Source organism: Homo sapiens, chromosome 4 (genome assembly GCF_000001405.40).
Source record: "Homo sapiens chromosome 4, GRCh38.p14 Primary Assembly".
NCBI classification, from domain to species: domain Eukaryota; kingdom Metazoa; phylum Chordata; class Mammalia; order Primates; family Hominidae; genus Homo; species Homo sapiens.
In genome coordinates, this window is record NC_000004.12 from 48,645,586 (window position 1) to 48,670,668 (window position 25,083).

At 35.8% G+C, this 25,083-nt stretch overlaps 1 protein-coding gene across 17 annotated transcripts in view; it reads right to left on the reverse strand.

Annotated features, from left to right (window-relative positions):
* FRYL (FRY like transcription coactivator) overlaps positions 1-25,083 on the reverse strand; it is a 282,923-nt gene that overhangs the window by 148,229 nt on the left and 109,611 nt on the right. The window contains exon 1 of one of the 17 annotated variants that reach the window (XM_024453992.2): positions 363-8,312. The exons of the other annotated variants lie outside the window; for them this stretch is intronic. The gene's annotated coding sequence lies outside the window, so the exon portion shown is untranslated. Of the gene's footprint in view, positions 1-362; positions 8,313-25,083 lie in introns of those variants that run through there. 17 annotated transcript variants of the gene reach the window in all.

The window sequence follows — 25,083 nt, forward strand, 5'->3', positions numbered from 1 at the left end:
CTGAACTTTGCTGGCCATCTCTGGCCATACCTTAAGTCAGAATCAAAATCTTTGGAATGGGGCCCAGGTATGTGTATGTTTTTGAAAGCTCCCCAGGCTGATTCTAATATGCAGCCAGGGTTGTGAACTATTGCCTTACCCTATTCTTCTAAAATGGAACAGTTGGCTCTATACAATAATTTTACTTAAAGTTGATTGTGATCATTAAAAAGTTTCAAAAGCACCATAAATAAGGAAACCTGTAATTATAATACCACAAATAATAGCCATCAAGTAGTTCTATTCCAACCATACAAAAGCCCTACACTTCAAATCATGGCAATACAATGCCCTTGCACTCTACGTAAAAACACACTACTAACCTTATCTTCAACGATATTACTAAGGCTATGTTACTGGAATCATCTTCTTATTTTCTTCCATATAGTCTCCCTATAATAAAATTTACTCATTCAGATATTGTTCCAAAATCATGTAAAGCTTATTTTAAAGAAAAAAGGATCGACTTAATGTATCAAATGTAAGTCTGTATTTGTTATATCGTTACTATATTGCATGATAATGGATATTAATAATTCATTCCTCATTTTTTATGAATGCCTTGACTAACTACTTTCTGTATCATATATCAATAATGTAACTGAAAATACAGCTTATAAAACAATTCACAAGATTTTCTATGACATTTACAAGTCATTACCTTCTGGGAAGAACAGGTCTGACAATTTGGAAATTCTCTTCGACAGCCTTCCCTATTCAAATGAATTTCTCTTTAATTATCTTTCTGTAAAAACCCTTAAAACTTTAATCATTTAGCAAAATTTTAAAAATTGGAAAATAGCATGCTTAATGAAAACCAACTAATAGATCTAAAATCGTCAAAAATGCCATCAAACAGGCAATGTCCTGTGGTATCACACATCAACAGACTAGGAAGAATAACCAAAAAGACATGACCCATTCTCATCCTGCAAAAGGCTAGCAAACTTGTCTTATCAATGTGACAATGCAACTGCAAACAGTTACTTCCAGAAAAGAAGACTAAGAGTTTGACCAGTAGTGGAATAGGCCAGAACCCAGTGATTTGAGACTCTGGCACAGGCTATGCCTACAATAGGCAAGACAGCTGTCAGGTATCATATTTAAAATATTAAGCAGTCAGTACAGAGGGGCTATCAGAAGAGCTACAGCCAGGATGCCTAATGACTGAATACCAGCATTGTTGGAGGTCATACGGCATCTAATTATGGAGGCAGAAGATGGTACCTAGAGAATATGATAACAGGTAAAAAGCACCAGGGAGGTCCAGGAGAACAGCAGATGTTATCCTGGCAAACAGTTGAATAATGCAAAGTCTATGAACAGGAAATATATAGACACACGGCTAGGGAGGTGGGTTTAATCAACAAAAAGGTATGCCAGCAGAACTTCATTCTCTTCAAGATCAGAGCAGGGTTCCACATTTGAAGGAAATGGAATACCAAAGTTTGATAAGGAAAGGCTCAGGAAAGAAGAGATACCAATAATTACAGATGGAGGCTTTGACACAAGAATGGGTAGCCGAGATACTACAACTGAAGAACAAAGGCAGATCCAAATTTGTAGTGAGGTTGGGCTGATGGTAAGTCACTTGAACTAATGAACTAGGGATGTCCCAAACTCCCCATCTTAGCACAGGATAGGACCCAGGGCCTGCTATAAGACTGAGTCTATACATGAGTACTACAGCAGGTACAGAGAAAGGTCATGACAGATATGTTAATAAAATAGAGGGTCAAATTTAACACAGATATTATTCTGGCCTGTTTGCGTATTCTCAGTCACCTGGCCCATTTGGATACTCTCAGTCACCTATGAATATTTTGACCATCTATGTTGGATTTTCTTGATTTTGAATCTTATTAGTAAACTATGTATTTAATATTTATCAATAAAATTTTAAAGCAAATTGTGAAACCCAAATACTTAATGAGTCCGATAATCAGCTGTACTTCTCACAACACTAACTGTTTAGTCTCAAAAATGAAATGTCTCCTTTCTCAAATGAGGTGAACCTAGCTTAAGAAGTTAGAATTAAACAAACAAACAAAAAAAAGATACAGCAGGCCCATGACTCTAAATCCAATGACACCTGGAGCTAGAAATCCCACTTTTCAGGGACCATCATGAAAAATTCACGTTGTTTACTTAATAGTACAATGAGTTGGCTTTCTTAGGATCCACTTCTCAAAGCAGACAAATTTATCTGAGGGATGATAAGAGTATTCTGACAATAAGCAATAGGTGATTCTTTTCCACTATGACCAACATTAACTCTCAACAGATACATTTCTGAAACTGATGTCAATGAGAATGTAACTGACCCTACAAAATTAGTTGTGCAAACAGCTAGTTAAAAATTTCCGTTATCTCCTGTACCTAACCCAAGACCTATTTTTCCTACCTCTTAAATATTTCCCATCACTATGAATGTTTTGTAAAGTGCTTAGAAGAGTACCTACACATGTTGTAGGTATTATATACTTGTTTGCTAAATAAATAACATTTCTTCCATTTGTTCAACCTTTATCTCACATATAGTCTCTTTCAATAGCATCCTAACTTGTCTCCTGGCACCACCCCAAAGACAGAAACTTGATGAAATCACCCCAATCACTGTCGCAAAGCCCATCAATGGTTACCTATTTATTTTAGGATTAAGACCAAAATCCATAACAAGGTTTTTGCTATTCTACATGGTCTAGTCCTTGCTTAACTTTCCAGCTTCATTCCCACCATGCTCTCCATAGCTCTCTGCTCCAGCCAAACCGGCCATTCCCTCCAGCTTCTAGCACTTGATATCCCTTCTGCCCACCCACCTATCTCCCAAACTGTTAACTATTTCTTCCTTCAGATCTTCCTAAAGTATCACTTGATCAGGGAAGCCTTCAATTAAAATATGAAGGAGTAGAGAAAGTTAGCTAAAGAGTTTGGGTGTGAGATTTTCTGGGGGGTGAGGGAGTGTTCTTAGTGTTCTTTTGCTTATCTGAGCCCCAATTTACTACTCTATAAAACAGCAATTTATCAATTGAAGAATGGATAAACAAATTGTGATGTATCCATCCAATGGAACATTATTCAATACATGTTATGACATAAATGAACCTTGGAAATACAGTTAAATGTAAGAACCCTGTCACAAAAGAACACCCATTGTATGATTCCATGTATATGAAATGTCCAGAATAGACAAATCCGTAGTGACAGAAAGTAGAATAATGAGTATGAGGTTTCTTTTTTAGATAATGAAAACATTCTGCAATTAGATACTGGTGATAATTGTACAATTTTGGAATACACTAAAACCCACCAAATTGAATACTTAATGAATTTTATAGTATGTGAATCTCACAATAAAGTTGCTACTTTGAAAAACAGCAATAATATTCCTCTTGAGATTTTCATGCTGATGGTTACAAGAGATTTAATGTATGTGCATATAATGTGAGTATACACAGATACGTGTGCAAAGACATACGATAGGTACTTACCACAATACTAGACCTATAAATACTTCAACAAATGGTATTATTTCAATCAAATAACACAGATTTTAACTGAAATTTAGATGAATGTATAATGTGCTTTTTGGGGTTGGCTTTTACTATTTTTACAATCCAAAAAAAAAATCTGAGTATTAAAAACAATTTATGAACTTTTCTCATTGTGCAAAAATGCAAGTAATCTATGCAAATACAGTTTCTTAACATACCATATCTTATTCACATTTTAACTTATAAAATTACGGTTTAAGAAGGTCAATCTATTTTATGTCTGTGATAAAAACTAAATTCTTTGAAACACCAGCTCTCATAAAAGTATGTATGCAAAATAAATTCTATAAATTAATATGCTTACAAGAGGTATTATATGGACAGCAAATGCATCTGTGATCTTAGCATTACATGAACAGATCTCAGTACTGAGTCTTGCTTTGTCTTATCAATTTTAGGGAACTAAGCCAATCTTTTAAATGATAACATCCTCACGACACAGCTGGTTTAACAGAATGTTCCTGATTCAGTTTTTAAAAGAAGTAATGCCTAAAACTGTTGGCACAAAGACAAAATCCTGAATTTAGGCCATATGAATGTCACTTCATTGTTGTTACTGAAAGAAATAAGCTCAACTATAATCAAACTTCAGCAGCACTGCATCAACATTCTGCCAGCTAAGCAGGCCCTGAAACCAGAGGGCCTCTAGCGACTAATATAAAAAGTAGCATTTAACATTAATACAAAGCACGCAAATGCATCTTATAAATAAGAAACACTATTATAATTAATGATGAACTATAATAATATACACTGCTTTTAAGTTATGTTCGAAGACACAACCCATAGATTTTTTTCTTTTTCTTTTTTCTTCAGGAGGGTAGGGGCAACATTTGAAATATATAATTTATTTAATGGAAAAAATTTTTCATTTCTTTTTTTATAAAGGCTATTAATAAATCAAGTTTTCCTCTGTTCTTTCCAAGAAATTCACTAAATAAAATGTTATGAAAATGTATTTAATCACTAAAAAATCATTTTATGCATTCCTACTTCAGGAATTGTTCCCCTGAGAGACATCAGTAGCATAATATTAATAACCAAATTATAAAAGGGGTCATATATTTATGCTTCTACCTTCTTCTCTATTATAAACTCATCCCAACAAAAATTATTGCAGCTCTACCCAATATCTTACTTGTCTGCACATTTACCAGAGCTTAAATAAGCATTAAATACACAAAGAACAAAAAGACAATCAACCAATACCCTCCAGAAGCTTACACTCAAGTAGCAGAGAAAGACATGAACAAGATGATGAGTATAATGATGCAATGATGTTTAAAGTGAAGAAGAGAACAGATGAAGCATTAACTATGTGGCTGACTGAAGGAAGAATGGGTCTTGAAAGAGGAGTAAAAATCATTGCGATGCAGGCAGAGAGATGAGAGGGTACATTTCAGGCAAAGGTAGCAGCAAATATGAAGGCACAGAATGCTTCCAGAACTGGCAAAGCATGGCGAGAACGGCAACAGGCAAAATGAGCAGAGGCTAGATGATGAAAGGCCTCCTCCTACAGGAGACAGAAAATCTGTGAGGTAAGGAAGGGAGGGACATGAAGAGCCAGCTTTTAAAAGGAACCCTTACCAGCAATGTGGAAGATGCAAACAGGACCAATATGGAAGCTGTGGCAATATTCCAGGTGATGATGAAGAGAGGCCTGAACTAGGATAGTGGCTGTGGAGAGGAGAGACTACGGAAATTTGAGTAGGCAGAATGGCAAGCTGTGGTCAAGGACCGAAAGGGGTTGGGGTGAAAGAGGCGTGGTAACCAACCTCTGGTTTCTGGCTTGGGGAGACTGTGGATATCAGTACTACCTACCATCATGGAGAGCATCCTATCATTCAAAACCAAACTCAGAAAAATCCCTTTCCCTCTTAAGTCTCCACTGACCCTGTAGTTCAATGTGATTCCTTCTTATTTTTTGTGTTTCCTTCTGTCACCCAGGCTGGAGTACAGTGGCATGAACAGGGCTCCTGGGCTCAAGCAATCCTCTCACACCTCAGCCTCCTGAGTAGCTGGGACCACATGCACCGTGTGTGTGTGTGTGTGTGTGTGTGTGTGTGTGTGTGTGTGTGTGTAGTGGTAGAAACAGGATCTCAGGATCTCACTGTGTGTGTGTGTGTGTGTGTGTGTGTGTGTGTGTGTGTGTGTGTGTGTGTAGTGGTAGAAACAGGATCTCAGGATCTCACTATGTTGCCCAGGCTGGACTCAAACTCCTGGGCTCAAGTGATCCTCTCACCTCAGCCTCCCAAAGTACTAGGACTACCAACGTGACCTCCCATGCCCAGCAGACCAATGTGATTCCTTCTATCTCTGGACTCTCAGTCTGTTTTATGTATAACAGTCATTTGGTAAGTCACAGTGCACACACAACATTTCTCATTTGACTTCCTTACTACAACTTTTCACATATACTTTCTCTAAGCTCCTCGAGAGAAAGGAACACGTTTTATACTTCTATCTGCCACAGCACAGTAGCATACGCTCTATAAACACTGGTTGACTCAAAAGTGTTGATGTTACAAAAACATTCCTAGGAAGAAAGAGCTAACTACTATCCTTTTCTATGGTCTTAATATTTTAACCCCTCCCCCTATGAGTTGTATTTAACTCTCTCATACAACAAAGATAAGTGAAGACAAAGAAGACACCCACAGATACTGGTGAAATAAAAACGTTCTTCCACTTTCCAGGGCTACAGCAGACAAGGACAGAGCCCTGCTGAACACTGAGACTAGCAATTTCTTTCCAGTAATAACCTATTACTTCAGAATGGTAAAGACACCTTCATGAGATGTGTACTATGAATGCCCAAGGGCAATGGGATACCCCCAGACTGACTGAATCACTATATTACTAACTGCTAAAAAACAAAGGCTTTACAAACATCTGTTTTTGGTTCACTACTGGATTCAAGGAGTATGATTAAACAAGATTTGGCTGTGGCTGGTTACAGGGTTCAGGCAACGACATGCAGAAATATTTAAATGGCCATAAAACAGGATAACCACATAGTTCACAAGTACCTAAACAAAGTTCTTACAAGACAAGCTGCTGTGATATAATACACTGTTCTTCTATAAGAAGTTGTTAATTATAGCTTTATTCTCACTATAAAACTGTCTTACTATTTTTAAAAAAGTACATGGTGAGGATGGGAGAAGCAGGGGAAACAGTACTGAGAGAAAGATTAGAAGCTACAGTCCAGTTTACTTGAGCAAAAATGTATTCTACATTACTGTCTCCCTTTTAACTAGTGAAAGTATTTAACTTGATTTAGTCAGTAATTACAATTCTCCCAATATTTTAACTATGTATATTCACTTAAAAACTTTCCTAGAACTAAGATAATTTTCTGCCATCTGGCACAACAGTATCTCCATATGGAAGAATTACTTATAGATAAAAAATAAAAGAAATATAGGGATTGTAAATGCAGTATATTTGGCTGCATTTACAAACCTCCTCAAACCATATTCAATAAGACTTTATCTTAAGAGGGTTTTTGTTCTCATGTCAATATTTTCACTTTCATATTATTTGCTTAAAAAACAAAACTACACTAAATAAATATTTTGGTAAAGAGTTAACCTGGAAAAATGTAAATTTAATTTCTGATATTTTATACATTAGTTTGCTTAGGCACCAGCAGCACAGTTGGGAGCAAAAACAACCAGGTTCTATTCCAATTCTTTGCCACTGTATGACCTTGGAAAAGTCACAATTTTTCTATACTTCAATTTTCTTTGACCAAAACAAACATGATAATAGAACCTGTGTTTACTTAATTCATGAGTTTGATATTGTATTATGATACTTTTGGCAAAAAAGTAAACAGACTATGGTAAGTGTTTTGAGATCTTTAAAGGAAAAAGTGTGATTGAAATATTGAACAAAAGCAATATTTCTGCCAAATTCATATGTTAGGAAGAGAGTTACGGACAGAATAATAGCTCAACGGCATCAGTTGTATTGACTTAACTGAACTTTGAAATCTAAGTATATCATCCTGAATGTTATTTATAAGAAAATTTACTACATATGAAAATTACACATTATAACTTCAATTAGAAGAATGAGGGAAAGCTATTATCATTATATTATGTTTCTAGTGCCTTAAGATAGCTGATGTTGATTCAAACAACATTCTGTGCTAACAGAAGTGTGGAAGAGTACTGGTATCTGATAACCCTGCAGAGATTAGAATCTATTTGTGGTCTTCTTCCCCCGTCCCACACCCCGCCCCCCATTTATGACTAATTGCGAGAAACTTTGCCAGAATAACACAAATTACCAAGAAATTCAAGGCTGGTAAATTTTCATCAAAGAAAATTAACTACTGATTTTACAACTGTCTGATGTGTGCATGTCTAGATTTTCTATCTTACTGATTACCATTCAAGAAAATATTCTTCATGCTATTTTCAACAGCTTTTTATCTATTTGGATTGGTCTGAAGAATCAGCATGCAAGGAATGGCAATGATAATAATACCTCAGCATTTTTTTTTTCATGTAGGAATATATACTTACAGCTGCTGCTCCAGGACTTTAACAAGGACTTTATGCTAATTTCAAAAAACACAGAATCCTGTAGACTCAACATAGTGTCTCAATCAGCTGCAAAAGCAGCAGCAGCAGCAGCAGCAGCAGAAGCAGAAGCAGCAGCAGCAGCGGTTTTGCCGTTCTGTCTCTCCAAGCCGCTGTCCCTTCTCTTCTCACAGGCAGCAGAGTTTTGGCCCACAGTGCCTTGGCTTCATTACCATGCAGTCTTGCAGTGACGCACAACTATAGTGGAAATGCCGCTGAATGCAGATGAACTATCCAGTTGAATAAAAGCTTACAAGTTTATTATAAGTGCCCAGAAGGACACCCTCACCTTTCTTTATGCAGATATACACATGGCCAAGATTATCTTCTTTGTTTATGTTACTGTTACCAGTTTTGAGGAGCAGTGTCTCTAGCTATGTAATCACGACTGCTAGTAAACAGACAAGGGTAAGAAGCTCTGCCCTTGGGTACCAACTTTTCTCACTAAGAGCCTTAGAAATTTTTTAAAAAATAAATAAATTAGGATTTAGTATAAAATCTTTAAATCTTTTCCCTTAATAGCTGATCAAAAAAAAAAAAAAAACAAAAACAAAAACAAAAAAAACTGGAGGTATTTGGCTGACTTCAACATCAGTTTCCTCTAGGTTATTTTAGTAGTAAATTCTCTCCACCTCTCTACACACCCAGGCAGTAAGCAGTGATTTTCTCAGCATGTTTGTGATGATGCAGAGTCCACTGTCTCACTTACCCCACTGGAGATCACGCTGGCTAATGGAATGAAAAGATGATGTAATGAATCTATGGCTGAGCCCCCATCAGCCTCTAAAACTGCTCAGCTCAGGACAAACTTTCCTCTGCTGCGTGCAACTTACTCAAAAGCGATAACTCTATTATAATAATGGGATTAGTTGAAAATACAGTCTTCTATTCTTAATATAGCACATAATTCCCACGAAAATCTTATAGTCAAAATGTCAATGAATAGCGAGAAATCCTCTGGTCAAACAAAATACTACACATTTGTAAAACTTTCTTCTATAGAAGCTGTTCTACACTGAAAGCAGACGCTGTTAAAGCCTAACTGCTCTTCAAAACAGTAGAAAAAATTCACAACCAAAATGAACAAATAATATGTCATTATCAGAAGAAAAATGTCTTGGCCTCATATTAGTTTACTGTGACTTTGAAGGTCATGTGTTTAGAGTTATTTTTTTCCATATGTAGCAATACATTTGTACCAATCCATCTACATGGCATTGTACCCTTTAAGTAACACAAAGAATAAGGAAATGCAGTGATCAAAGTCATAACTGAATAAATTTATTCACAGCCAAATGGCTAGGCACTGTATCATAAGCTAAAATAACATCCTTTCACAAACAACTATCATACATTATGGGAAATTCATTAAGAGATATTCAGTGGTAGTGGTATTTTTTGGAAGGGGTGGGGGTCATTTGAAGGTATATTTTTTCTCAGAGCAGTCCAAGAAATCTGGCCATCCCTACTCCTAAACTGACCCAAAAAGTAAATTCAAATCAGGAAGGCAAAGGCTAACCAACACAGAACCATAATACCACAATACTGTTGTTTGGATACATCGCGATTAGAGACATCTCGTAATTAGTTTAGACACCAGGATTTCTCCTCATATAATGGAAAACATGCCTTAAGATGCTGAATGAAAAAAGTGCATCCCACAGCCCAGAAACACTACATACTATAATACATCCCATTCTTATACATTAACAATATATGTCAACATGCAAAATACTCCCAGTTTTACAGAAACTAGTTAAATTTTTCTGATTAATTTATCCTCCAAAGTGATTTCATAATACAATCCTCTTTTCATCAAACAGTTGTTAACAAATTCAGGAAATAAGCCAATTTAGACCCAAACAAATATATAATTATATATACATTATATATAATGTATAATGTATTATATAATGTATATATTATATAATGTATATATACATATAATGTATAAGTATATAAAATTATATCTAATGTATAATTATATAATACATTATGTAATACATTCTGTATTATATAATCATATATAATGTAAAATTATATATACAGAATTATATAATTATATATACTATATATAATGTATTATATACATACATATATACACATACATGTATATAATGTATAATTCTATGTACATTATATATAATGTGTAATTCTATGTACATTATATGCGTAATTATATGTACATTATATATAATGTGCATTATATATAATGTGCAATATATGTATATAATGTAAAATATATAATGTAAAATATAATGTATGTATAATATGTAATGTACATATAATTATACATTATATAATTATATATAATTTTATATAATGTATATATTGTATACATATATACATAAATAATATATACAATATATACATTATAAAACGTATATAATTATACATTATATAATGTATAGTTATATATACATTATATATACATGATTATTCATTATATATTCATGAAAATTTGAATATATATTATGAATATATATTTGAATATACATTATTCAAATATGAATTCAAAATAAATTTGTATATTATATTATATATTACATAATATATACTAAATATATTATATAATATATACTAAATATATTATATAATATATACTAAATATATAATATATAATTAATATATAATTATATATAATGTATATATAATGTATAATCATGTGTGTATAATGTACATATAATCATGTACATATAATGTATATAGTAATGTATACATATATGCATTATATATAATGTATATAGTAATGTATACATATATGCATTATATATAATGTATATAGTAATGTATACATATATGCATTATATATAATGTATATAGTAATGTATACATATATGCATTATATATAATGTATATAGTAATGTATACATATATGCATTATATATAATGTGCATGTATGTATATATGACTGATACATATATATGCATATATATAAAATGTATATATATGACTGACTATATATATATATATTTATTTATCGCCAAGGCAAATTAATAGTTTCTTTGGAACACACGCAAGAAATTAATTTCAGAGCTTATTTTGGAAGTTCCATTTTACATCAGGGCTTTATCATACACAGAAAGCAGGTGACTATGGCACTTCCCATTTATATGTAGACTAACTCAATAGGCCCATGTGGGCAGAGCCTCATTCTCTCAACTCAATTCTAAAATGTAAAGACTAAAATAGTGTTACTATTTCAACTATTAATCACAAACATCTTAGCAAAGCTTAGTGTAATAAGTATTTTCTTTCTAATCCTTCCTGAACTTTTATCATCCAGTTTAGCAAAGTATTAACTAGGACAACTACATATGCATGCAACCAAACCTTTTAGATGATGATGGAAGAGTCCCACTATATTCTGAATGCTTTCTCAATCCTTTGATTACTAATCCTGTTTTTGTTTTGTTTTGAAATGGGGTCGCATTCTGTTGCCCAGGCAGGAGTGCAGTAGCACGAACAAGGTTCACTGCAGCCTCAAACTCCTGGGATCAAGCCATCCTCCCACCTCAGCCTTTCAAGCAGCTGGGTAGACAGGTGCACACCACCACGCCCAGCTGATTTTTCTTTTCTTTTCTTTTTTTTTTTTTTTTTTTGGAGAAGTAGGTTCTTGCCATGTTGCTCCAGCTACTAATCCTGTTTTTAAATTACGCAAAGAACGATACTGCTATCAATCTTCAAATGAGTTTTCTACCCTTAACCTGCCAATTATTCACAGAAACTAAGTCACGGCCACCGCCTAGAGCTTACTGCAAGATTGTCAAAAGACAAGCAATGCCAATTTTCGATTGTATTCTTTTTATAAATTCAGAATTCTCCAAATTGTATCACATACCTCATCACCATAAAAAGATAGCCCCAAAAATTGTTTCTTGATGGCATATCCTTGGCAAAGCAGAAAAATCTAATTTGGATAATTTCCTTCAATTATACTCCTCCCCAACTTTTAGATTATATATTAAAGAAGGCTTTTTAAATGGTAAGTTTTAAAACATTTTTTAAGAAAGTCCAATTTCAATATTATCAGCCTTTATTGAATAAGGTCCTCCTGGCATGAGCCAAATACTATATACTAAAGATTTGACACAAAAGATGACCATAGAAGTTCTCTTGCCCTCAACGAGTTAGAAAGTAGGTTTCCCTATTTCTTTTAATCACCTTCCACTTAACTCTATGCCCATTTAACTGGCATTTTGAGGATTCATGGAAGTAGCTACTTGCTTTACATTTTTAAGCACAGAGTCAACAGAGGTACATTCCAATACACCAAAACCATACATACCAGGAAAAATTCTTAGTAAATCTCACAAAATATTGCTATTTAGATATGGATCTGAATAAAATGTTACTTAATATAGAATGAAGTTCGGATTTAACTAGAAATATGCAATTGATGAGAATTAAATGGTCTGGCTAAACAAAATTCTTCAATTACTCATTTGTAGGAAAAAAGTACACATGTATGAATTATTCCTCATATTGACAGTTTTAAATATCTCCAAAATTATTAAACTGGTATCCAGAATTACCATAAGGAAAAAAAAGAAATTGGCAATTTTTTCTATACAAATGTCAAATACCACATCAATCCTAGAACCTTCTACAGCCCCCACAGATTTCAGCTTTTCAGAGTCTTCTCTTTTCTGGAGTTTAGAAAAGAGACTGAAAGGTTTTAGGTAGGCTGGGTAAGGTGGCTCACATCTGTAATCCCAACACTCTGGGGGGCCCAGGTGGAGGACTGCTTGAGCCCAGGAGTTTGAGACCAGCCTGGACAACATGGCAAAACCCTCATCTCTACAAAAAAATACAAAAAAAAAAAAAAAAAAAAATTGCCAGGTGTGGTGGCAGCCGCTTGCAGTTCCAGCTACTCAGGAGGATGAGGTGGGAGGATCAACGGGGCCCAGGAAGTCGAGGCCGCAGTGAGCCATGAATGCGCCACTGCACTCCTGCCTGAGTGACAGTGAGACCTTCATAAATAAATAAATAAATAAATAAATAAGAAAATCAAGGTTTTAGGTAGAAGGAAAGTTGCTTTTACATCTGTTATGTAATTACCACCACACATGAAATATAAACAAGAAAAAAAAAACATTTGTAACAATCACTTCATATTTTTCTTTGAAACCTCATTAAATACCACAACAAAATGCTAACAGTAACTACCTATAGCATTGACTAACTTCTTGATATACTTACTTCTTTCTTCTATTTACTTACGCCTTCCTATATTTCTCAAATTTTCTTCAAAAAATGTTTTAACATTTTTAAACTTTACTACAAAAAGGAAGCAGGGGCCAGGTGCAGTGGCTCACGCCTGTAATCCCAACACTTTGGGAAGCCAAGGTGGGTGGATTGCTTGAGGCCAGGAGATCAAGATCAGCCTAGACAACATGGTGAAACCCTGTCTCTACTGAAAATACAAAAATTAGCCAGGCATAGTGGTGTGCGCTTGTAGTCCCAGCTACTCGGGAGGCTGAGACACAAGAATTACTGGAACCCCGGAGGCGGAGGTTGCAGGGAGCCAAGATCGCATCACGGCACTCCAGTCACTGGGCAACTAAGTGAGACTCTTGTCTCAAAACAAAAAAAAAGAGAGAGAAGAAGAAGGAGAAGGAGAAGAAGGAGAAGGAGAAGGAGAAGGAGAAGGAGAAGAGGAAGAGGAAGAGGAAGAGGAAGAGGGAGAAGAGGAAGAGGGAGAAGAGGAAGAGGGAGAAGAAGAAGAGGGAGAAGAAGAAGAGGGAGAAGAGGGAGAAGGAGAAGAGGGAGAAGGAGAAGAGGGAGAAGGAGAAGAGGGAGAAGGAGAAGAGGGAGAAGGAGAAGAGGGAGAAGGAGAAGAGGGAGAAGGAGAAGAGGGAGAAGGAGAAGAGGGAGAAGGAGAAGAGGGAGAAGGAGAAGAGGGAGAAGGAGAAGAGGGAGAAGGAGAAGAGGGAGAAGGAGAAGAGGGAGAAGGAGAAGAGGGAGAAGGAGAAGAGGGAGAAGGAGAAGAGGGAGAAGGAGAAGAGGGAGAAGGAGAAGAGGGAGAAGGAGAAGAGGGAGAAGGAGAAGAGGGAGAAGGAGAAGAGGGAGAAGAAGAAGGAGAAGGAGAAGGAGAAGGAGAAGGAGAAGGAGAAGGAGAAGGAGAAGGAGAAGGAGAAGGAGAAGGAGAAGAAGAAGAAGAAGAAGAAGAAGAAGAAGAAGAAGAAGAAGAAGAAGAAAGGAGGAGGAGGAAGCAGCAGCAGCAGCAGCAGCAGGGCTCCTTGGAGAAATTCTAGGACACAGGCAGAAAATATACAAGATAAGCCTGGAGCATCTTGGAGTATCAGAAACAAAGAAAGTAGAGAAGGTAGAGAAAGACAAGGGCTCAAAAAATAAAACAATGTGGTATGTCAGATACAGGGGCCAACTGAAAGAGCTCTTAATGGTCAAAGCTGAAACAAATTTGAGCAACACAATAAACAACATAGGTTCATATTGATATAAATGAATGACTGAAGAAGTAAATAAACAGGGGAGAACAGAAAAAGTTTTCATTGTATGGGAAAGGAGTTAACCTAGCAGGCCTGACTGCTATCCTTTGAAAGGCCTTACAAGGTTGGCCCTTGGCTGGCATCTGAGAAATTAGATTTTGGGAGGGACCCACCACTCCCAGAACTGGTTAAGAGTGGCTCCACTATGCCTAAACTGTTTGTATAAATAATACAATTTACATCAAACACCTGCTTTCCTCCTGGGCATCTAAAATTTGAGTTTATGCCAGGTAAGGGGGTGCCCACATGAATAGCTCCAATAAAAACCCTGAGCACTGTCTCTAATGAGCTTCCAGGGTTGGCACCATTTCACCTGTGGTGTGATAGTTCATTCCTAGGGAAATAAAAACAGGAAGAAATGGGTAATTTCATTATGGAGAAACCTGACAAACACTACCTCAGCCAGGAGATCAAGGTTAACATTATCAGTGATAAGTCATTTTAATACTACAGACTCTTGATAATGATGTGATGAGAATGGCACTTAATCTGTATTCTTCTTCCCAAAAACCTTTAAGCCCAGTCTAACCATTATAAAGAAAAAACATGAGACAAATCCAAATTGAGGGACAGTATACAAAATACCCAACCAATAATCCAACATTATCAAGATCATTAAAAACAAGGAAAATCTGAGAAATTGTCACAGTCTAGAGGAGCCTAAGGAAATGTGGCAACTGAATGTAAAGTGGTTTCTTGAAGCAGAAAAAGGACAATAGATAAAAATAAGACAAATTCAAATAAAATATGAGCTTTTGTAAATAATAATGCATCAACATTGGTTTATTAGCTGTAAACAGTGTACAACAATGTAAAATAGTAACAGCAGTGGAAACTGATTGTAGAGTACACATAAACTCTTTGTACTATCCCTGCAACTTTTCTATAAATCTAAAAGTATTCCGAAATAAAAAGTTTGTTAAAAAAAATTTCATTTTCAAGACTTCTACTTCTAGCCCTGAGGGAGTAACTGGAATTGGGCTTATTCTCCTACCATAAATAATTACAACATTGTACAAAGTATATGATCAAGGTTTTCAGACATGACAAAGGAGAATGATGACCCCTGAGAGATGAGAGACAAATAAGAGGAACACTACAAGCACCTCAACTTCTGCCTAAGGGCACTTTCAGGACTACAGTACAGGAAGGGATCCCATGAAGTCCCACAAACCACAGTAGAGGTCCCCATTAAATACTGAGGGCATTCTGTAGATTCTCCAGAAGGTCATGCCTCATAATGGGGCTAGCAACTATCTAAGCACTCCTTAAAGTAGTTTCAAAGACTCCAAAACAATCCTCTAAACCAAGCTGCAAAGGATCAAGCTGATCTGCAAGTAACTGCCTTCCAAAACAAACAACACTCTTTAAAATAATGTGACAAAATCCAGCACTCAGCGATGTCACAAATGGCAACATCCAATTGAAATGTATTAAATGTGTCAAGGAGTAGGAAAATGTGTCCTATAAAACCAGTCAATAGAGTAGACCTAGAAATGACAGAGATGACAGAATTGATAGGTTCTTTAAACGGCAATTATAAATAAGTTCCAGGATGTAAAGGAAAAAATAAATACAATGAAGAAGAAATAGAAAATAAAAGACTCAAATAAAATGGAGAAAGAAAAACACAGTATCTAAAACAATAAATTCACTATGTAGAACTAACAGAGGATAAGATGCTGCCAAAGAAAAAATCAGTAAACTTGGAGAAATGGATATAGAAACTCTCCAAAGTGAAGCACTGACAACTAAACATAATGAAACAAACAAACAAAAATGAACCTAGACTCAGTGATTTATGGAACAGCAGCAAATGGTCTAATATATATGGAATTGGAATCTCAGAAGGAGTGAATGGAAAATATTAATTGAGGACAGGCACAGTGGCTGACACGTGTAATCCCCAACACTTCAGGAAGCCAAGGCGGGAACACTGCTTGAAGCCAAGAGTTCACGGCCAGCCTGGGCAACATAGTGAGACTTTGTCTCTATAAACAAATTTAAAAATTAGGACCTGTAGCCCTAGCTAGTCAGGAGGCTAAGGCAGGAGGACCATTTGAGCCTAGGAGTTTGACGTTACTGTGAGCTACTACCTGCAGCCTGGGCAACAGAGCGAGACCCTGTCTCTAAAAAAAATAACAATAACAATAATATTTTTTAAATAAAGTAAATTTAGAAAATAAAATATTATTCGAAAAAATAATGATCAAAAAATTTCTAAAATTGACTGGCTAAACCCACAAATCCAAAAATCTCAAGCAAAAGTAAACAACTACCCAAAGAAAAAGCATGCTAAGGTGCACCATAATCAAACTGCTGAAAACCAGTGATAGAGAAAGAATCTTAAAAGCAAGAAATTAGCCAGCACAGTGGCGCGTGCATGTAATCCCAGCACTTTGGGAGGCCAAGGTGGGCAGATCAATTGAGCCCAGGAGTTTGAGACCAGCCTTGGCAACATAGCAAGATCTCATCTCCTGAAGAAAAAAAAAAAAAAAAAAAGCAGGAAATTATACAAGGCAGAAGTTAGAATGACATCAATGAAAAGCTTAAAGCATAAAACTACTGACCCAGAATTCTATATCCAGTAAAAATATCTTTCAAATATAATAGGAAAGTAAAAATGTTTCCAAGACAGACAAAAGCTAAAAGACTTTGTCACCAACAAATCTGCACTACAAAAAATAAAAAAGAAGTTCTTCAGGTGGAAAGAAAATCATGCAAGATGAAAACTTGAATCTATACAAATGAATGAAGAATGTCAGAAACAGTAAATGTGTAGTTAAAATACTTTTTGTTTCTCATTTTAAATGTCCTTTCAAAGTTAATTAACTATTTAAAGTAAAAGTAATTAACAATGAACATTTGGGTTTATAATATATGTAGAAATAAAACAAGTGACTACAATAGCACATAGGAGGACAAACAGAAGTATAAGGTTTCAGGTTCTTATATTATATGTAAAATGTTATCCTACTATTTGAAAGTAGGCTGTGAGAAGTTGAAATTCATTTTATAAACCCCAGAACAGCTACTTTTTAATTAAATATATAATTTAATTTAATTTAATTTATATATACATAAAATAAGCCAAGAATAGAATAAATTAGAATACTAAAAACTACACAATTAATCCAAAAGAAAGAAAAGCGGGTGGGGAAAGAAAACACAACAGATAGGACAAAAAGGAAACAAACAGCAAGACAGATTTAAACCCAAACATGTCGGTGGTTACCTTCAATACAAGTGATCTAAAAACTGCAAAGAATAATTGAGTAAATAAAAGAGATCCCCCTTCCTGGCTAACACGGTGAAACCCCGTCTCTACTAAAAATACAAAAAATTAGCCGGGCGTGGTAGCGGGCGCCTGTAGTCCCAGCTACTCGGGAGGCTGAGGCAGGAGAATGGCGTGAACCCGGGAGGCGGAGCTTGCAGTGAGCCGAGATCGCGCCACTGCACTGCAGCCTGGGCGACAGAGCGAGACTCCGTCTCAAAAAAAAAAAAAAAAAAAAAAAGAGATCCCCTTGTGTCCTTGGAGAGGTTAGAATGCAATAGTGGATATTAGAAGTGTGTGTGTCCAAATGTTCCCACATACAAACACGTATATAAAATTACGAACTGTGATGAAGTGCTGTGAAGGCAGTGAAGGGGATATACTCACAGAGGAAACCAGAGGGAGCCTGAGATAGGGTGGTCAGGGAAGGCCACTCTGTGGGAACAACATCAAACATGAAACTGTTCAGCAGGTGGGTATTCTTCTGAAGAATGAATCTTTATGCTCAAGCCCAAAAAGAAAAAAGGATAAAAGCAAAGGAACTCTGGCTGACCACGGTTAAAGTGCCAGAGTCCTATCCACTGGGCTCTTCCATTTACCTGAAATGATTCTCAGAGAACATCTGAAATACTCAGAGGGCTCCAGGAAATATTAAAGTAGATACTGAAATGCCCAAGAAGGGTTTTGAGATCAGAACAAGATCAGACAGGCCACTTGACTGGTTAGGTGGCGAGGGGACTTGCAGAGGACACAGTGGAAGTCAATGGGCTATTTAAATTGCTGAGGTGAAAGACAATTACTTTAAAAGAAAATAGTACACTGATAGTAATTAGGAAGAAGGCAGTAAGAATGAAAATAAGGAAACAGATTTCCAATTTTTCCTGCTAGATATTTCCTGATGTATTTGGTGACTAACAAAATGGAAAAACATAAGTAAAGTTAAAATATTCAAAGGTGACCCCCAGGCTTAGCGGACTCAGTAGAAGGTCATGCTGAATGTGGAATAGCCCGGTATGGGTCACATAAAGAAGAGTCTAGGCTATATATTAATAAATCTAAAATACAAAGGGATGAAAGTACTAGACAGCAGAGAAGTAGACAGATTACCAGTCCCACATAGCTCTCACGGCATCTTGTTTATTTATGAAGGGGAAAAGTGAATTATTTTCAAGTGCTTGCTAGCCAACAATAACCACACTTAATGAATTCAGCTGAACTGAGGAAAAAGAAAGCAGTAAAGAGACAATAATTCAAATATAGCAGTATCAAAGGTAAACAAAATAAACCACTCAATAATGAAGAGAATCTGTTGCTGAAACAGTTGGACCAGAATTCTGCCTAGAATTCTAAATAGAAAGGTTTCAGGTCATGTCCAAATTAACTGCTTATATTTAGAAGTATAAATCAAGTTTCTAATCATAGCTATAAGTGGGTTTCTAAAAAAGGTAAGTTTTATACAAATGTTACAGATTGGACCAGTGCAATAATATACTCATAAGTTAGCAACATAAAACCAGTAAGAAAGTATTTTAACTAAGCTCTGTAATTTGGGGTGTGGTTACCTATGCAGCAATTATATTGCTTGTGTAAGCCATAAGGTACAATTACTGTTACATTCCTGACACAGGTATTCATTAATAGCCCAATTTGTTCCTGGCTTTTGGTTTTAGTTCTTTTTATATATTTCACACATTTAAAAAACATTCCTCTGCTAGAATGAAACAGTCTAGAAGATCACACACCATACCAATTTCCTATCAAATTTGGCACAGTGCTAGATGATATTATTTATTCAAAGATAAAACATCTGCTCTTTCCAAATATATTTAAAAATCATTCTCAAGCTCCTTTGAAATAGAGATAGAAATATTTAATTACTTGAAACAACAGTTTTTGAAGATATTGTTAATTAAAATCCAGATTTTAAAATTTCTATTCAAAAAGCTCCCAGTTACTGGATTTGTATTTTTATAACATAATGCATATTTATTTTATTGTCTTGAAGCTGGAATTATTAATACCAACATAGTTTCACTGACAATACAGGTTATACAGATGCTTAGGGAAGAAAGGGGTATCTGCCATCAAAATTGGCTAGTCCTAATGGAACAGAACGAGTAAAATTCTATGAATCACCCATAGTGTGAATATAGCAGAGCTGTTTTGAGCATGAAGTAGGTACTATTAATAATGATGCCAGAAAAGAGACTTAAACTGCAACTACCCAGGGTGTACGGAGACCTCTTACAGTCACCTTCTCCATGAAGCACTCATCACAAAGTAAAGGCTCACTATTTACTGCCAAAACTTGCCTTGTTTCCTAAATTGTCAGTAGTAAACTACATTTTCAATCAACTATAGGTTCTTTACCATTAAAGCCACCTTTGATATCACTCTAGTTTTAAACCACAGAGGTGAGTCAGCAAGGCTGTAACAAAATAAAGGTCTAAACCAGGAAAGGAAGAGCCAATAAACTGCAGAGGCAACCAAATATAAGAGCAAAAATAACTCTTAAGAGGACAAGGCCAAGCACAGTGGCTTACGCCTGTAATTCCAGCACTTTGAGAGGCCAAGGCGGGCAGATCACTTGAGGTGAGGAGTTTGAGACCAGCCTGGCCAACATGGTGAAACTCTGTCTCTACTAAAATAAAAAACCAAAAATTAGCCAGGTATGGTGGCACACACCTGTAATCCCAGCTACTCGGGAGGCCGAGGCAGGAGAATAGCTTGAACCCGGGAGGTGGAGGTTGCAGTGAGCCGAGACCACGCCACTGCACTCCAGCCTGGGTGACACAGTGAGACTCAGTCTCAAAAAATAAATAAAAAGTAAATAAATAAATAAATAAATAAATAAATAAGAATTAGAGAACCAATAGGGTTAAAAGGAAAAGATGAAAAGATCATCCAGTAAAATTCAATGGGCAAGTCCAAAACATAGATAAATGTTTATGCATGGTTAACCTTAATCAAAATGCACTGTATTCAAAGCAATTTAGAAAAAGCTAACTTCATAATCTTAATATTCCTTAAACCCCCACTCTAAACCTAGAAAACCAGAATCTATTGTTTAATAAGATCCCCTACGTGATTCTTAAGCACGTCCAACTTTAAGGGCTACTTAACAGGAAATTTTGGAAGCCTAAGAAATAATAAAGAGAAATTTTCTGTATTGATTACAATGAACGTTTCATAGTTTTTTTTTAAAGTTTCTTCATCAAGTTGACTAGAAATGTGCATCAGCTTATACTTCCTCTTGAGGACAGTGTAAGAGATCATCAAACGGCCCATTTAATCTTAACTCACTCTTTAGAAACACAAAAACCCATCAAAAGTCTAAGTAAAAGAACTAAGTATAAGAAGAATTTAGGTAAGATTACTATGATTTACTTTGTAATAACTAAAATTATTTTGGATTGTTTAACAGTTTAAATAAGTCAGTGATGGCATGTTTGCTTTGCTAGATAGACTAATCCTCATCCTGATTGCCATCTTTCTGCAAAGAATCATCTGAGATGGTCTAGGTTACCTTTACAGCTAATTTTTTTTAAAACAAAACAAAATGACTCAGATTAATAAATTTTATTATTAAAATAAAACAAAGTATGTATTCTACCCCCATATGTAGCAGGATGGGGTGGGAGAGATGAGTGGAAGGCATGTAGGTATACCCTAGTGGACAATCCATTCCACTGAGGACAGGTCATTGAAGACAGGTCCATACAACAAAATAACTAATAAAAGCAACCACTTCAGAACTGCAAATCAGGATACTGGGCACATACAGGAAATGTGTTAAGCCAACAATTGTTATCTCTAAAAAATAAAACATCCGGCCTTCCAAAAACAGTCACACAGAATCACAGAACCCCACCCCCTCGCTTTTTTTTTTTTGAACTGGAGAGATTTTAGCAATCATTTATCATAATCTCTTAAATTCCATGAGACAACTGAAGACCAAGGAAGATAAGCAATATAGTAGGATCTCAAATCAAATTAATAAATATTTACTGAACACCTGCTACAGATAAAACACTATTCCAAGGGTTACAGAAAATAGAACTAAGTATAATATTGGACCCTTTCTTCAAAGCTTCCATTCTTTTTTTTTGGAGACAGGATCTTGCTCTGTCTCCCAGACTGGAGTGCAGTGGTGCGATCTCAGTTCACTGTAACCTCCGCCTCCCAGGTTCAAGCAATTCTCTTGCCTCAGCCTCCCCAGTACCTGGGATTACAGGTGCACACCACTACAGCTGGCTAATTTTTATATTTTTAGTAGAGACAGGATTTCACCATGTTGGCCATGCTGGTCTCAAACTCCTGGCCTCAGGTGATCCACCCACCCTGGCTTCCCAAAGTGCTGTGATTACAGGCGAGAGCCACAGCGTCCGGCCAAAGCCTCCATTCTCTATTTCCCAGGTAAGTTACTTGTATGTAGCTCTCTGATGTTACCAATATTCTTTTCTGTGGTCTAGCTTAGGGGTTGGAAAACTGACCCCCAAGGCCAAATCTGGCCCAACAGCTGTTTTTTTAAATAAAGTTGTAGTAAAATGCAGCCACACACATTCACTCGCATATCATCTAGAACCACTTTGGCTCTACAAAGCCAGAGCTAAGTACCTGCGACAAAGACCTGTGGCCTGCAAAGCCTAAAATATTTACTATCTGGCCCTTTACAGAAAAGGTTTACTAACTGCTGTTCTAGATTGATCATCGTTTGCTTAATTTGAGGTGGTTTTTTTGTTTTTCTCTTTCCATTTTGAAACTAAGGCTGGAGATCGCATCACTGCACTCCAGCCTAGGTGACAGAGCAACACTCCATCTCAAAAAATTAAAAAAAAAAAAAAAAAGAAAGAAAGAAACTAAGACTGGTTTTGCCTAGGGAACCATTGCCTACTGAGCAATGTGCTAGATGGTTTTGAAGGACAAGTCAGTGAGCTAAATATGGCAACTGACAGCACTTCTTGTTAACAAGTAAAAACTTGCTCTGGTACATGAAAGCTAGAGGACTCTTAACATTTATTTAACAAAGGTTTACTAACTGCTTAAGAAGTGCTTGCCACTGGGCTAAGCTCTGGGGTACCCACAAAAGTCAGACCAACTCAGTCCTCAACCCACTATCTGGTAAAAAGAAACAATACTTTCATGTTAAATAGAATAATAACTGAGGCTAGGCGGTGAGGAAAACTTATTAACCCCAACGATAGTCATACAAGAGATTTCCACTCCCCTTGTAGATTCCAGTTTCAGGAAGTCACCAGAATTGGAGGCTTATTAACTATAGCTGCCTCAACCCAAAGGCCACAACTTGTATCTGGGTGGGGTTAACCCTTGGACTGAATATTGCTTCCTGAATTCCCTTTATAGCATTTGATTTTTGTTTAACCTTTACAGAATATTCCTTTAGTTACATTTTAAACTTCAACTTAGCTTTATTCTTCTTAACCTATTCTACTCTTCTTTTTAAAACCGTATCTTTATTTTTTCAATATTTTGAGATAGACATTTTATTGTCTTATTCATCTTTTTACACCTTTATTATTTTAGTATGTTTTACTTGCTATTTATTTAGCGATACATTTACTTATCAATACATTTTTCTTATCTCCTTTGTTTCAATTATTTTACCTTAGATTCAATACTGCTTTCCTTTTGCTTCTTAAGTGAGGAATAAGCAGCTGTGATCATCAAAACAGTCATCCACCAGGAAGGTGCAGCAACTGAACAATTAGAGCAGGTGCAGCCTCAGAGTGGAGCTGAGTTCTGGGAGCCCTACGGTGTGCCTCACCCTTTAGTTTATGAAACATATGGTGGTCCTGGGATGAGGGCAGGGGTATTTGAGCATCACGAGCAATTGGGGGAGGAGATTTAGTAGTGGCTAAATATCAACTGATATGACAAATGGTAATATTTTAACAACCAGTGTCACCATACCAGTACATACTGGATATACACCAGTCTTGTGACTAGTATAATTTGCATTATAATTTATAATAATATTATAAGGGTATATATATATAAAGGATATATATGTAAAATTATATTAAAGGGATATATATAATTTTTATTACATAAAAATTTTATTAAATAAAAATTATATATCTCATTAATTATGTATATCCTCTTTATATATCCCTTATATTATTATTAAACATATATTTAATACATAAACATTTTTAAAAGATGGAGGAGACAGATGTATGTTTACTTCAATTAAGTTTCCTGCAAATTCTAAAAGCCAAGGAAATAAAGATCCTGACCCTAAATTTAACCATACTTAACTGTCCCAATTTTTAATAATATACATCCGTGTAACTTTGGGAGGCAGTCTAAAAAGACAGCTTTTAAAATAATTTTTTTACTGTCAATTTTTTTTTTACATTTTTTAAAATCATTTTTTACTTTTAATTTTTATGAATAGATAGTAGGTGTATATACACATGGGGTGCATGAGACATGTTCATACAAGCATGCAATGTGTAACAATCACAGGGTAAATGGAGTACCCATCACCTCAAGCATTTATCCTTTGCATTCCAGACAATCCAATTATACCTTTTTAGTTTTTTTAATGTACAATTAAATTATTTTTTACTATAGGCTGGTGCAGTGGCTCATGCCTGTAATCCCAGCACTTTGGAAGGCTGAGGTGGGTGGATCACTTGAGGTCAGGAGTTTGAGATCAGTCTGGCCAACATGGTGAAACCCATCTCTACTAAAAATACAAAAATTAGCTGGGCATGGTGGCACACACCTGTAATCCCAGCTACTTGGAAGGCTGAGGCAGGAAGACTGCTTGAACCCGAGAGGAGGAGGCTGCAGTGAGCCGAGATTGTGCTACTGCACTCCAGCCTGGGTGACAGAGTGAGACTCCATCTCGAAATATATATATACATATACATATATATATGTATATATATATAATTTTTTTTACTATAGTCACCCTGCTGTGCTAGCAAATACTAGATGTTATTCATTCTTTCTAACTATTACTATTTTTGTAACTATTGACCATCTCCACTTCCCCACTCCTAGCCTCTGATCTCATCACTGCTTTTCCCAGCCTCTGGTAACCATCCTTCTACTCTATCTCCATGAGTTCAACTGTTTTAACT